Source organism: Homo sapiens, chromosome 6 (assembly GCF_000001405.40).
Source record: "Homo sapiens chromosome 6, GRCh38.p14 Primary Assembly".
Classification (NCBI taxonomy): domain Eukaryota; kingdom Metazoa; phylum Chordata; class Mammalia; order Primates; family Hominidae; genus Homo; species Homo sapiens.
The window spans coordinates 165,696,011-165,711,403 of record NC_000006.12 but is presented as its reverse complement, the minus strand read 5'-3'; the positions used below and the strand labels follow the sequence as shown (position 1 = coordinate 165,711,403).

Below are 15,393 nucleotides of genomic sequence, written 5' to 3'. Positions count from 1 at the left end.
AATCAAGCATTAGGACCTGTGTTTGCACGTGCAGCACGGCATCCAGACCACAGCTGCCTTTAGCACGCTGAATCATACCATCTGTAATGGTGCCACAGTGCCCAACTTGAAGGGCCAATGGGAGCCCCAGGCACTTACCTCTGTAAATTACCCATCCAAGATGAGGTTTTCAGAAGAGCCCTGCTCCCAACTCTAACGGTGTATTTAGTAGAACTTACTGCTAACGTCATATCCCTGTTGTTCTCTCCAGCCAGCCGCCTCCCCTTCATGCTTAAAGGTGGGAGCAAAGGACCCGCTTTGTTGGCTTTGAGGAGCGGGACAGACCCCCGGGCGCAGATGAGCGATGACCCAGCAGAAGGCACCCTGGACCCCTGCAGTGCGCCAGGTAAAAAGGAAACCCGCTCTGCCGTTCCGCCTCCCACGGGGATGGTCTGCCCTTCCTGGCATTCTCTTACGGCTCTTAGCCGGGACCTCATGGGCAAAGCAGTTGAGAAAATTGCCTATGATTAGGAAAGACATGGGTATTTTTGATCAGGGCCCAGGAATGCAGACATGGTTTTAAGTGATTTTTCTAAGCACTTTGTATGTCTTTCCCCTTTTATTTTTTGAAGTTAAGTTGGGTACTTTCTTGATTAATACAGCAGCCAAATTAGTCATTTAACATTACAATGACGGTAACACCCTTACTCACAAGCAAGGGCACATTCAATGAGAAAATAATTTACATTATTTTTATCTGATGACTTTTATTGCTAAACTTAAGAACCCCACCAAAAGCTCCTGATTTATTCAAAAACGTTATGAAATGGGATTATTGGAACTTTGGAAGCAAATTTTCTAAAATACAAAACGAAAAGTGCTTTTCTCTGTTTCTAAGGTAGAGAAAGTGACGACCCTCTTTAAAAGGGATCAGTTTGCGTATTTAGGTGTGTCTATAACAGGAAAACATCGTAACATCTTAGTTGTCTGTTTTTATATATTCACAAAAACTAAAAGGACTTTGCACTTGGCCAGTGGAGGGCTCCGTTTAGGTGAGAGCGCTACGCAAGGGGTGAAGTGGGTTCATTCTTCTACAAATATGTTTTTGCCCCTGCTATGTGTAGCTTTGTCCTAGTAATGCAATTAGGACCAAGATACAGTCCTTGTGTCCAGGGGTTCATATTCTACTTGAGGAAGAAGCACTCAGGAAGCAAACATTCGCTGTAGCTTCAGAGAGTGGTCAGTGCTGCGTGGGCTTAGAGCATAAGTGGCATCTCTCAGAGTGGCGGCGCTGTTAGAAATAGGAGCCTGCACGTGAAGATTCGAGTGAGCGTCCAGTGGAGAGAAGAGCAGGCGTCAAGGCACTGAGGCAGGTCTGAGTTGGTATGTTCAGGGCTGAGCAAAACTGTGAGATGGCCTAAATGCAGCCAGCAAGGAGAAAGCAGAGGTGAGGCCGTCACAGGGATTGGAAGGGGCAAGTTCTTACAGTCCTTAGAGGTGATAGGTCTTGATCTTTAAGTAGTGGGAAAGCTCTGGAAAATTTGAAGCAAAAGAGTGAAGCAATGCAACAGGTAGTTTTCAAAGACCACTCAGTCTTCTGTGAAAGGGACCGCAGGACAGCGAGGCTGGAAGCAGAGATGCCGGGAAGGAAAGAGCCATGGTTGCGGCTCGCAGAGGGAGAGCCTGGCAGCATGGGGGTAGAGAGTGGGGGGACAGTGCCGCAGCATGGGGGTGGAGAGTGGAGGCGGGGGAGAGCCGCAGCATTGGGGTGGAGAGTGGCGGGGGAGAGAGGCAGCATGGGGGTGTAGAGTGGAGGGAGCACAGCAGCATGGAGGTGGAGAGTGTGGGGGATAGCGCGGCTGCATGGGGATAGAGAGTGGAGGGGAGGGAGAGCGAAGCAGCATGGGGGTGGAGAGTTGGGGGGAGCGCGGGAGCATGGGGGTGGAGAGTGGAGGGAGCCCAAAAGCATGGGAGTGGGGAGTGGGAGGGAGCATGACAACATGGGGGTGGAGAGTGGAGGGAGCGCGGCAGCATGGTGGTGGAGGGTACGGGGAGAGCGCGGCAGCATTGGGGTTGGGGAGAGAGCACCACAGCATAGCGGTGGAGTGGGGGGAGAGCGCCGCAGCATGGTGGGGAGAGTGGGAGGACAGCGTGGCAGCATGGGGATGGAGAGTGGGGAGAGAGCACGGGAGCATGGGGTAGAGGGTGGGGGCAGAGCAGGGCAGCATGGGGCAGGAGAGTGGTGGGGAGAGTGCAGGAGCATGGAGGTGGAGAGTGGGGACAGAGCGTGGGAGCATGGAGGCGGAAAGTGTGGGGAGAGCACGGCAGCATGTGGGTGGAGAGTGGGAGGAAGAGCGCGGAAGCATGGCGGTGGAGAGTGGGGGGTGAGCGTGGCAGCATGGGGGTGGAGAGTGGGGGGTGAGCGTGGCAGCATGGGGGTGGAGAGTGGGGGGTGAGCGTGGCAGCATGGGGGTGGAGAGTGGGGCGTGAGCGTGGCAGCATGGGGGTGGAGAGTGGGGGGTGAGCGTGGCAGCATGGCGGTGGAGAGTGGGGGGTGAGCGTGGCAGCATGGCGGTGGAGAGTGGGGGTGAGCGTGGCAGCATGGGGGTGGAGAGTGTGGGGAGAGCGCGGCAGCATGTGGGTGGAGAGTGGGGGGTGAGCGTGGCAGCATGGCGGTGGAGAGTGGGGGCAGAGCGCCGCAGCATGGGGGTAGAGAGTGGTGAGGAGAGCGCAGGAGCATGGAGAGGGAGAGTGGGTCGGCCGGGTCGATTGGATGCAAGGAGGCATTCCTGGGTTGGTTTCATTTTGCTTTGTGTTTTTGCCCTGGGCCTATTTGTTCTGATGGGGAGGAGCACGGACGATGCAGGCGTGGGGGTGGAGGCACTGAGAACCGTGTTTGGGGATGTGCTGAGAGTGCGGAGCCTGATAAATATCCGTCCAGAAGTCCCTGAGCGGACATGAAATGCAGGGTTCTGGTGCAGAGGGCACTGACAGGAGATGAAGATGCAAATGTGGGTCCTGGGAAGATGCATGAACGGGTCCTCCTGGAGGAGATCACCTTGGGAGGGCAGCCTCAGCAAACAGGGCACAGTGAGGCTGAGAGGGATGGGGGAGGCCCGGTGTGACGGCCAGAAACCAAGCCAGGAAGCCTCTCCAGGAGTCAGTGAGCAGCTGTGAGAAATGCTGGACGGACGGCATGAGTTAAGCAGGTGGAGTCCGTGGTGACCTGACCGGGGCTCTGCAGTGTGGCCGCCGGAGGTGCCTGACAGCCCAGCTCCCGGGGCTTCCAATGCGAGGGCAGGAGTGGAGCCAGCACGTGCAGACAGTTCTTCCAGAAAGTTCTGTTTTAAAGAACAGAGAAATGGAAGGATAGCTGGCAAGGAGGCAGAAGTCAAGAGGGTTGGTTTGTGTTGAGTTTTTAAAAATCTGGGGCGGGGCAGATGGGTTGAGTCCTATGAGACGCACATGGCGATAGTCTAACAGCACAGGGGAATCTTCTCTTATCTGCAGGAGGTTAAAGAGCAAACTCTGCCCCTTTGTGTTCAGCCTTGATCATAGGGAAGGGCTGCTGAGCTGTGTATTCAAGATCCCCTAAAGGAAAAGAGCACCCAGGAAGCTGCAGACACACACACATAAACACAATCTCACACACACATACACTTTCACACACTCAGTCTCCCACACACACTCACACATACACTCATACACACACGCACAGTCTCACACACTCACACACATGCTCACATACGCTTACACACACACGCTCACATATACCCAAACATGCGCACACACACAACACATGCTCACACATGCACACACACTGTCACACACTCACACACACACAGTGCAAGCATGTCCAGTTCCAGGGTGAAAAGCAATGAAAATGTCCTCACACAATTGGTAGCCACCTGACACGTGGGGCTGCCGTAGTTAAGTTAACCAAAATTCAGTGAAATGAAAACTGCGGTTTCTCAACACCTTGAGGTGAGGCCTCTGAGGGATAGAGACGCTGGACTCTCAGAAGGTGGAAGAGGGAAGCAGGCCTTCTGAGCGCCCCTGAGTGAGCTGCAAACCCTGCTCTGTGCAGGGCCCCGAACTAGAGTCTGAGCAGGCTCAGCCCGTGGTTCTGAGCAGAGGAGAGGACCAAGCTGCCCGCCACCCATCCCCTGGGGACCAGGGCGGGACTGGGGGAGCCGCAGCAGCTGGACTCTGGCTCAAGGACCAGGTACCAAAACTTGGAGTCTGATCAGGATCACTGTTAGCACCATTCCAGCTACTTTGAGGGTCAAATAGGGTTTTCTGGGCTTTCCCCAGGAATTTCCATAATTTTGAGACTGTTTCTATGGGAAAATAGTCCCTGTGTTTTAAGCAATCGACTTAAAAACAAACTTTTGGATTATAATTTTTGTATGCTAGCATTCTTAGACAGGCTTACTGGGTGAACATTGTCTAAAAGCTTAAGTAAATTCAAAATCACTTATTGTTTCTTTCATAATACAAGACTGTGCCTGCTTTTGTTAATGGAATGCTGATAGGGATGGGCTTGGGATGAAGGCTAAGGATAGTGTTCCTTTTTTTAAAATCTTTTGAAAAATCCGCTTTTCTTTGAATGAAACCACGTAAATCTGTTATTCATAAGCCTTTTTCTCCCTAAAGTCTGAATGGTAAATTAAAATAGAATTTAGTATCTCCTAATATTAGTTCACAAAGGATCCTTTTATCAAGCAATGAAAATTACTCTCCAAGTTTCCTTTTTTGTCTTGGCTACTTGGAAGCTCCTAGCAAAATGTGCTGATTTAGTCACAGACTGTGAAGATTTATTGAGGAGAAAATGTTAACACTGAAGCCCTGGGGTGTCAATAAGATAGTATTGGCAGGCTAGGGAGGAAGGGACAGTGACTGACTTTGGTTCAATTCTTATCCTTAGCTATGAAGGATCAGAAATGGACTTTATTGATTAACCTCAATAATATGTATTCATCAGAACACAAATGGATTGACTTACAATGGCAATAATCTCATTCTAGCAACCCGAATGTTTCTGTCCATGACCCATGGAAACCTGTGTCCTGATACTGAGATATCTAGGAAGCCAAAACCGTCATCATCAGAAGCTGGCTTAGTAAGCATAGGATTAAGGCAAAGGGAAATCATTATCTTGAAGGACATTTTATCTACACCAAAGTAACATCACTGAAATATTCATGTCGCCCCATTGAGAACATTTTTCTGGTGACTTGCTTTTGCCTCTCAGATCATCTTTTTCCCGCACTGCAAAGCCAAGCACTCCTGGAATGTGCATTTCTGGAACTGGCTTCCCCATGTCAGCACTCCCTCTGCATGTTCCTGGGATGTGCTACTGTCACTGGTGCTGTGAGAGCTATGCATTAGGAGTGTGGCCGCCCTTCGCAGAGAACACACATTTTCTTTTCCCCCAAGTTGTTGGATGTGCATGTCACTGTCCCCACTGACCACTCACAACAGGAACTGTGGCTGCTTAGATTTTGGGCAAATCCATTTTTCCTTCTCTTACACTTCTGCTATTATTAAAAGCAATCTTAGCTCTTTTTGGAGGAGAGAAAGTTACGTTTTGAATGCAAATTTAAAAATTCCCATTGCTTGCTTTATTTAATAGCACACAGATGATGGTAATATTTTTAAAGTCATGGCATCTTTTTTTAAAAATAGATTCATATTCTGCCTTTTATCAAAATTATCTTTTATCTAATTATCATAGCCATAAAAATCAAAAGAATTATAACCAAAAGCTATGTAGTATGAATAATTTTCCAGCTGAAGCTTGATTTATTGTCAATTATATTTGACATACCACAATTCTGTTACCACAAATTATTTGAATAACATTTTGAATTCATGAAATTTGCCTTCCCACTGCAGTATTTTGTGAAGACCTGCTCTGCATCAGGCACCGAGCTAGGTGCTATGGGGAGCTTACTGAAGTCTAAACCACTAACGTTAGCTTTAAAGGCTGTATCTTAGAAAACTGTACAAGAACTCCTGAGCCCCACGTCCTTTGGGTACTGTCTCAGAAGTCACCAGTGGGACCCTGGCATCTGGGTGGCATTTGTAGGCAGCTGGAGCAGTCTGCAGTGGCATGAAGGCCACGCTGGAAGGCTGTGCTCCTTTCGGAGGGATTTAAGCAATCTAGCCAGCTGTTCCAGCTGAGATGATCTCTACCTGGTCTTAACCTCACCTGTCTCAGGAGTAGAGACAACCTGGATTCAAACCCCAGTAAACAGGTACAGTGAGCCCTGCCCCATCCAGGCTTCACCCATTCCATGCTGGTCCCCAGGTGTCCCCTGGGTGTGCGTGCCATGCTGGGGGCGGGTGGTACCACAAGAAGCACCCTGTGTGGGAACAGGGCTCGTGCTTTGAGACATGGCAAACAGGGACAGCAGGGTCTGCAGTGAAGAGTGGATGACTCCTGGGAGGACACAACAGGGGAAGATGTGGAAGGCAGTGTGGTACAAATTATCCTGTGAATGAGGGGAGCCCTGGTAGACACCGTAATGGTCCATCATGGACTGTCGATGGAGTCAGTTTGCTATTTGTCTAAGTACGCCTTTCCCCACCTTGATCAAAAGGCACAAAATGATCAAGTCTGAAACAGGGAAGATGGTTTTGCTTGCCTGTTTGTTTTTGCATCTCTTTTTGTGTTTGATTTCTCAATCTTCTCATACATCCACAAAAAGAGATAGTTCCTGTGAAGTGAAACCTGCTCACAAAACTTAACTGACAGATTTTATTTTATTTATTTATTTTTTGCTGTTGGTGACTCTGATTTTTCTTTTCATTTTAATGGTCAACACATTGGTGTATTTGCAAGTGTGATGAGAAGAACTGAAACCTCTCTACAGAGTTTCAGTGGTGACAGATGGGATCATGTGTGTGAACTTTGTGTAAACTCTTCTTGGAAGAGCCTCCATACCAAAAAAATAAAAATAAAAACAAGGCTGCAGCAACATCTAGGTCCCTATTATTCCTGCTGCGCATTTTTGCTGATGTTATCTCAGCTGAGTATATCCTACCGTACTGGGTTGGGCACCAGTGTTGCCGGTTGGGTTTGTAATTTGCATGGGTGTCCCACGTGCTCCTCCTTTGTTTCCTTCCTGATCCCCAGGCTCCTCTCTCTTTGAAGGAGCACCAGCAGATCCCTCCAGAGCTGCTGCCATTGTGTGAGCCTGATCATCTGGCTGTGGGTATTGTTCAAGGACCGCAGCCAACAACACCCACAGTTTTTGCTGGCCCGGAGCCTGAGAACTTGAGCCAGTTCCCAAACGTATACAGAGTTTCTCTGTTAGGATACAACATACTGTTGTACGTGGCACGGCTGCAGTTGAGTTTACTCCCTCCTTGGTGAACGAGTGTGAATATGTTTGGGCGTGTGTACGGCAGCCTTGAAAAACGTGTGGGAAAAGAAAATGCTGGAAGCTGCACTTTCCATGACTTGGCTACTCCTGCAGCTCATCCTTCCATCCATTCATCTTTGTGACCTGAGAAGCTGCACCCTCTCTACCATGGTACCAGCCCCCAGTGGAGACTCGCAAAGGATTTGAGAACAAGGGGAGGCGGCTGTCGGCCCTGGCTGTCCCATAGCTGATTACTGGGGGGACTGACGGGATGGAAGCAGGGAGATGGGAGGACCCATGGAGGGCCAGGTCACAGCTTAGTGCTTTTGGCCTAAGGCCAAGATTTCCAGAGCAAAGAGCAAGGCACAGTGCAATCTTTGGAATAAATCTGCAAATTGGACAGTTCCTGAACATTCAAATGTGTAGGTTCTTACCTGTGTTCTTAAAAGGGGGCATCAGATCACTCTCCATGTTCCTTTAGCTGCACTGCTAAAACAATTTTTTGAACTCAGTTATGAGGCTTTGAGCTGGTCTACCATCTCTCCTGTGCATAACTTTTCTTCAGAATGAATGAAGGAGGAAAGTACATTAGCAGCAAGTGTGAGTGACAAAAGGAGCCTAGTGGTGGGTTATCTCCATGTTCTTTGTATGGCTTTACTTACAAAACCCTTTTACAACTCTAAAACGTGGCGAAATGACATGCATGTTTATTCCCACTCTCTATATGAAAGGGACAGGCAGAATCTAAAGCTACGATTGCAGGGCCTGAGATGGTCCTTCTCAAGAAGGGAACAGGACCACTGTCCTGGACACCACTCCAGGTGTAGCACAGGTGACTGCAAAGTCTGAGGTACACTAATAGACAAACAAAGTTGTTACCAATTTGTGTCATTAAAATAATTATTTATGAGGCTGCAAACAAACCTGAGAACCTGGCCTTTGCAACACAGCGCAGCCTCCACGTCTCCAAAGGCAGTTTGTTCTTTGAGTGAAATGTGCATACTTTACCTCTAAGAGATGCCGAATCGTGTTTATGAAAATGGAATTGCACGGGCAAGTGGAAGAACAGGGGACTCCAACCACATCTGGGTCACTGGAGCTCACTGTGGTGGGTCACCGCCCATCTGCTCTGGGGCAGTGTTCAGCCTTTCCCACGGCAGGTCCTGGCTTCCAGAGTCATCTCATGTGTTAGGAACGTCAGAGCCTCACATTCACGTGGTTCTAGTGCAGATTAGATCATGAGAGAGCGTCCTTGCAGTGCACCATGGGAACTGCAGGATCCCTTCTTCGGAAGAGGTGAAGACTCTGGTCACCTGGAGGGGCGACAGATGGGCTGGCAGCCAGGCACATGGAGTGAGTGGGGTCTTTGTCTTTTTCTGCTCCTCCCTCCTCTGAATCTCTTGGTGCTTCTCAGTTTAGTACATTCACAGGTGGGCCACCCGCTGCCACTGTTCCTGGCGAATTAGTTGATCTTAATTGTACACTTCTTGTCACTCAGATAGATTTCTGAAATGCTGCTGAACCGTTCCTTCTTCTTTGTGGGGCTTGACTGCCCACATGTCCTCGGAAGGACAAGATTGTCACAGTTAAGGCTGTTCCTTCTCCAGGTTGTGAGGGACGCTGCCTGGCTCATGATCCTAATTAAGCCCTTAGGATCAGCTGTGAGGGCCTCGCTCAGGTGAGAAGCCCATTGATGTCAGCACCTGGGGAACAAGGTCTGGCTCTGTTGTAAGTTACAGCGGTCAGTATGAGAAGGAAATGGAGAAGAGGCAGGGAGTTTTCAGAAAATTAATGTTTTACAAATGTACTTGTTCTCTGCTTTCTGTGGTTTTCTTTTGTAGTTCTTTGCAGCTGGGGCTGGTCCTTCTTGAGGCAGACCCTCTGCCGTCCCAGGGCATGTTCTGAATTCCCCCACGATGAGGTGGCACCACCCTTCGGAGGTTCAAACATGGTTTTGCCACTTACGGGAAAATCTAATTATAGTGTAACATAGCTGACCTGGCCCTGCCTGCCTCCTGGCCACATCTTCCTGCCCTCCCCACTTGTCCTGTAGTTCCAGGGCCCAGGACCAGACTGCGTGTTGTTCCTCAACCCATCATCTCCTCCGTATCACCGGAGTGTTCCTCTGCCTGTTGACTGTCTCTTCCCTTTGCTTCAGTAACCATCATTCATCAAGACTCATCTCAAGTCTATGAAGCCTTCCCTAACCCCCACTCCAGACACACTCACCACATGCACACACAAATGCAAACACACACACACATGCACACACACACACGCAAACATACACACATGCAAACATACACACATGCACACACACATGCACACACGCGCAAACACACACATGCACACATGCAAACACACTTACATGCACACACACAAACATACATGCACACACACACACACATACATGAAGAGTAGACCATCCCCCACTTTATGACACCAAGCTATCTGGTTCTCACTTCTCTTGCTGTTCTGCAACTGCTTGTCTCCTTCCTCTTCCAGATTGTGGCTTTTTTGATGGCAGAAACCATATTATTCACTTCTGTATCCTTAGCACCTAGTGCAATGTCAGAACATATTAGAAATTCAATAAAACAGTTGTTGTTAAATCAAAGAAAATGGCCCGGTCCAAGCATGTGCTACTGAGTGGCTAGCATGTGCAGCATTCTCTTGAAAAATCATAAAGAACAGTGACAGTGGCAAATTGTGTCATTGGGTTTTTGTCCTGCACACAGTCAGAAGACAAACATATATGCTTGTGTAATGCACATAGCCACCCAAGACCGTCAGATGGTTTCTATCAATTGTCGCCTGGACAGGTCACTCTTCGGCAGGCTTTCCTATTTACCCAGGAATTTGCTGCCAGGCATCTGAAGTCAGAGTCTTGTTTTAGCAAAATAACTTTTGTCTATTTATAGAACAGTCAGACACCGCATAGCTGATCTGCTTGTTCTATATTTGCTAGGCATTTAACTAAGTTGCTGTAACCTACTAGGCACAAGAAAGTTCAACATTATAAATAGGATCTCTGTCTTTTTCCTTTTATTGCAGCACTGATGGAATCCAGGTATCACAGGTATGCACGTATCAGACATAGCTAGTTGAATATGCAACAATTTCCCAACCACTGCTGCCAACCAATCTGCATCAATAAACACTTCAAATGGCTTACTTTTGCTCATTGGTACCTATAAAATCACCCGCATGATAACTTCATCCCAGATCTGAGACAAAAAGTCACATAAATGTTAAGTGTCAACTTCTTCTCTGGAGGACCGCCTAGTGATATGAAGAATCTAGTAAATTGCATAAATGCTATTCAAAAATGGAAGGTAGCCTTGTGGTGCAATACTTCTGTAACAAATCTTTAGTTCAAATGTGACTACCTCTCTCCAATCCCCAAATTACACAATGTATTGGGTGATAAATGGCATTTCAATTTCCTTTCCCCCAAACTCTCTTATTTTATATAACATTACCTGCAAAACGGTAAAAAGAAATGCGTGCACGACATAGGTGCTACTGTCAGAAGCCTCCAAGTGACAAGATCATTTTTGAAAAAAAGATTTATTGAGATATCATTCACACACCATGTAATTCGCCTGTGTGAAATGTGCAATTTAATAGTTTTTGACATATTCATGGATATATGCAACCATCACCACAATCAATTTAGAACTGTTTCATTACTTTGAAAAGACACCCCATGCTCTTTACCTCTCATTCCTTGTATCCCTACCCTGCCCCCTACCCCATCCCCTTCCTCTCATCCCTACACAACCATCTTCTGTCTTTATAGATTTTCCTCTTCTGGACTTTCACATTAATGGGCTCATCCAGTATGTGGTCTCTTGTGACTGGTTTCTTTCACTGAGCATAATGTTTTCAAGGTTTATCCACATTGTAGTGTGTATCAGTACTTCATTTTGTCTCTCCATTCATCCATTGATGGACATCTGGGTTACTTCTACCTTTAGCTATTATAAATATGCTGCTATAAACATTTGTGTACCAGTGTTTTGTTTCATTATTTTTTCTCTAATTTTTAATTTTCTCTATTTCATTAATTTCCACTCTATAATTTCCTTCTTTTTGCTTGATTTAGGTTTTGTTTGCTCTTCTTCTTCCTGTGTCTTAAGGTGAAAAGTTAGGTTATTGATTTGAGATCTTTCTTCTTTACTAATATAAGTATTTACAGCTGTAAATTTCCCTTTAAGCACTGTTTTAGCTGCGTCCCATAAGTTTTGGTATGCTATGTCTTCATTTTTATGTATCTCAAAGTATTTTCTGATTTTCTTTTTGATTTTTGACCCATTGGTTGTTTAAGAATGTGTTTAATTTCCACATATTTGTGGATTTCCCAAATTTTTCCATTAGTAATTTCCAATTTTATTCCATTGTTGCTGGAGAAAATATTTTGTACTATTTTGCTCCTTTTAAATTTATTGGGATTATTTTTATGGCCTAGCATATAGTCTATCCTGGAGAATGTCCCCAGTGCTCTTGAGGATGTATACTCTGTTATTAGTTGGAGTGTTCTATTGCAATCTGTTAGGTCCAGTTTGTTTACGGTGTTATCCAAGTCTTCTATTTCCCTGTTGATCTGATCTTCTGTCTCATTTTTCTACTCATTATTAAAATTGGGGTATTGAAGCCTGCATATTTTTGTTGAATTTTCTATTTCTCCTTTTATGTTCATTAGGTTTTGTTTCCTATATTTTGGTGCTCTGTTGTTAAATGCATATCTTTATAAATGTCAAATATTTCTGTTGGATTAACCACTTATCATTATAAAATGCCCCCTCTTTATCCCTACTAACATTTTTTGTATTAAAGTTTATTTTGTCTGATATTAATCCAGCCACTTCACCTTTCCTGTGGTTAATATTTACTATGATATATCTTTTTCATCCTTTTACCTTAAATCTATTTGTATCTTTAAATCTAAAGTGTATCTCTTGTATGCAACACATAGTTAGACCATGTTTTTTATTCAGTCTGACAATCTCTGCCTTTTGATGAATTGTTAACCCATTTACTTTTAATGTTATTATTAACATAGTTGAATTTATGTTTGCCATTTTACATTTTGCTTTCTATATATCTCATGTCTCTTTTATCCTTCTACTTCTCCTTTACTACTTTCTTTAGAATTGAGTGAATATTTTATTTATTTATTTGTTTTTGTTTTTTTGTTTGGTTGGATTTTTTGAGACAAAGTCTCACTCTGTCACCCCTGCTGGAGTGCGGTGGAGTGATCTCAGCTCACTGCAACCTCCACCTCCTGGGTTCAAACAATTCAGCCTCTTGAGTAGCTGGGACTACAAGCAAATGCCGCCACGTCTGGCTAATTTTTGTATTTTTAGTAGAGATGGGGTTTCAACATGTTGGCCAGGCTGGTCTTGAACTGCTGACCTCAGGTGATCCACCCACCTCAGCCTCCCAAAGTCCTGGGATTACAGGCATGATCTACCACATCTGGCCAAGAATTGAGTGGTTATTTTCTAATGTAGCATTTTAATTTCATTAATTATTTTTTCGCTCTATTTTTTTATTTGTCTGATTTCAAACCCTTGCTCTTTCCACTATACTAGGCCACATCTCACATTTACGATTACAAGTAGTGTTCCCTATGTAAGACTCCAGCTTGCGTTGCCTGTTCTTTTCTTATGTGTTAGCCTTTATTAGGGTTATTTATTCCAGTTTTCATATTTTATAACTAGAAAAAGGATTAGAATGTAAGGCTTACCATAGTATTTCTGTAGAGACAGAGGAGACTGCTAACCTGAGTCAAGGAGGTCCTGCTTTTCCTGTAACTGCCTCAACTCAAGCAGCCTTGAGCAGTATTCAGTATAATTCAGTATTATTACTGAATAGTCTCCCTAGGGTTTATGGGAGATGTTTATAGCATTTAAAATTCAGGAAACATGGCTTGTTTATTTGTTTTAATAATAGGAAGATGAGAAGTTGAAGAGAAAGGAGAGATTCACTTCATGGTATTGATTTCATAAATCCAAAGCCTGAGGAATAAAATAACATTCTGAGGTGCTCATTCTAGGGGTTGGCAGGAATTCATACTACTGTCAGAGGGACAGTGACGGCGTAACAGGAATAAACCAGGGATGCTCTTTCTTCTTTTCTCCTGTAGTTGCAATTGATATTTAAAATTGTAGTTAAATATACGTAGTATAAAATTTTCCATTTTACCTATATTTAACTGCACAGTTCTGTGGCCTTAAGTACTTCATATTTTTGTGCAACCATCACCATCATCCATCTCCAGAGCTTTTTCAATTTCCCAAACTGAAACTCACCCATTAAGTACTTCCAATCGCCCCATCTACCCAGTCCCTGAAAGCCTCCATTCTACTTTCTATCTTGATGAATTCGACTACTCTAGGAACCTCATATAAATGAACTTGTATAGTACTTTTCTATTTATAACTGGCTTGTTTCATTTAACACAAGGTCTTCAAGTTTCATATATGTTGTGGTCTGTGTTTGTTCATATGAACTCAAATTGCAGTCTTGCCTTTCCTTTCAGCTTGAAAAACTTCCTTTAGTATTTTTCATAAGACAGGTCAGATAGCACCAAATGGAATGTTTTTCTTTGTCTGAAAAGGTATTTATTTTGCCTTTAGTTTTTTATTACAGCTTTGCTAGACGTTAACAGCTTTCCTTTTCTTTCAACACTTTGTATATGTCATCCCACTTGGCTTTCTGGCCTCCATTGTTTCTGCTGGGAAGTCAGCTGTTCCTTTTCTTGATGCATCATTTTTCTCCTCTCCTTTTAAAATGTTCCCTTGTCTTTGACTTTCAGCATTTTTCTATGGCATGTCTTTTCCTGATTCTCTTTCAGTTTATTCTACTTGGGGTTCATTAAGCTTCCTGGATGGTTACCATTTTTCAGTAAATTTGGGAAGTTTCAGCCATTATTTATTTGAATACTTTTTTCCTCATTTCTGGTACTTCCATGATATGTATTTGGGTATGTTTAATGGCACCTCTCTTTCCTCTGAGGCTCTGTTCATTTTTCTTTTTTCTATTCTTCTCTCTGTTCTTCAGCTAGCATCATCTCTATCAATCAGGTTTGAGCATTCTTTCCTCTGCCAGTTCATATTTACTGATGAGTCCTTCTGCTGAATTTTTTATTTTAGTTATTGTGCTTTGTACTTGAATAATTTCCTCTTGGCTCTTTTTCATAGTTTATCTTTCTTTATTGATATTCTCTACTTGATGCAACATTACCTTTTTTACTTCTTTAATCATGGTTTCGTTTAGTTGTGTGAACATATTTACAACGACTAGTTTGAAATATGTTAAATCTGACATTTGGTCATTCTCACATGCAATTTTCTGTTGCCGTTTTGTTTTTTGCCTTTTTCTCCCCAGTATATGGGTCATACTTTCCTGTTTCCTTACATATCTCATAGTTGTTCACTTGAAACTGAACATTTCAGATAGAGTAGTCCCCCATTTCTTGTAGGGGACACATTCCAAGACCCCCCCAGTGGATCCCTAAAACTACAGATTGTACCAAACCCTACATATACTATGTTTTTTAAATCTGACAACAGAGAGGGGCTACTAAGCAACTAATGGGCAGGTAGTGTCCATCGATATGCTGGACAAAGGGGTGATTCACATCCTGGGCAGGACAGAGCAGGATGGTTCAAGATTTCATCACACTAGTCAGAATGGTGTGAGATTTAAAATTTACGATTCATTTATTCCTGGGATTTTTCATTCGGTATTTTCAGAATGAGGTTGACCATAAGTAAACAAAACTGTGAAAAGTAAAACCTGGGATAAAAAAGGACCACTGTAATATATTGTAGCAGCTCTGGATACTGGTCTTCTTCTCCCCGGGGCTTCTTATTGCTTTGTTTATTCACTTAGTTACTGGCTGGATTATTTTAGTGACATCCATCTTCCTTCCCCCTCCCCAACACCAACACACAGTGTCATGTCTCTGATGTTGCTGCTTGAGAGGCATAGCTTTGGGTGTGGCCAGTTACCCTGGGGTGACATTAGTACTGGT

The 15,393-nt window shown here is 44.6% G+C and overlaps 1 protein-coding gene across 3 annotated transcripts in view; it reads left to right on the top strand.

Annotated features, from left to right (window-relative positions):
- PDE10A (phosphodiesterase 10A) overlaps positions 1-15,393 on the top strand; it is a 660,764-nt gene that overhangs the window by 276,649 nt on the left and 368,722 nt on the right. For all 3 annotated transcript variants that reach the window (XM_011535387.4, XM_017010194.3, XM_017010197.3), the window contains exon 3: positions 251-385. In XM_011535387.4, coding sequence (XP_011533689.2) covers positions 251-385 — 135 coding nt within the window. The remainder of the gene's footprint in view (positions 1-250; positions 386-15,393) is intronic.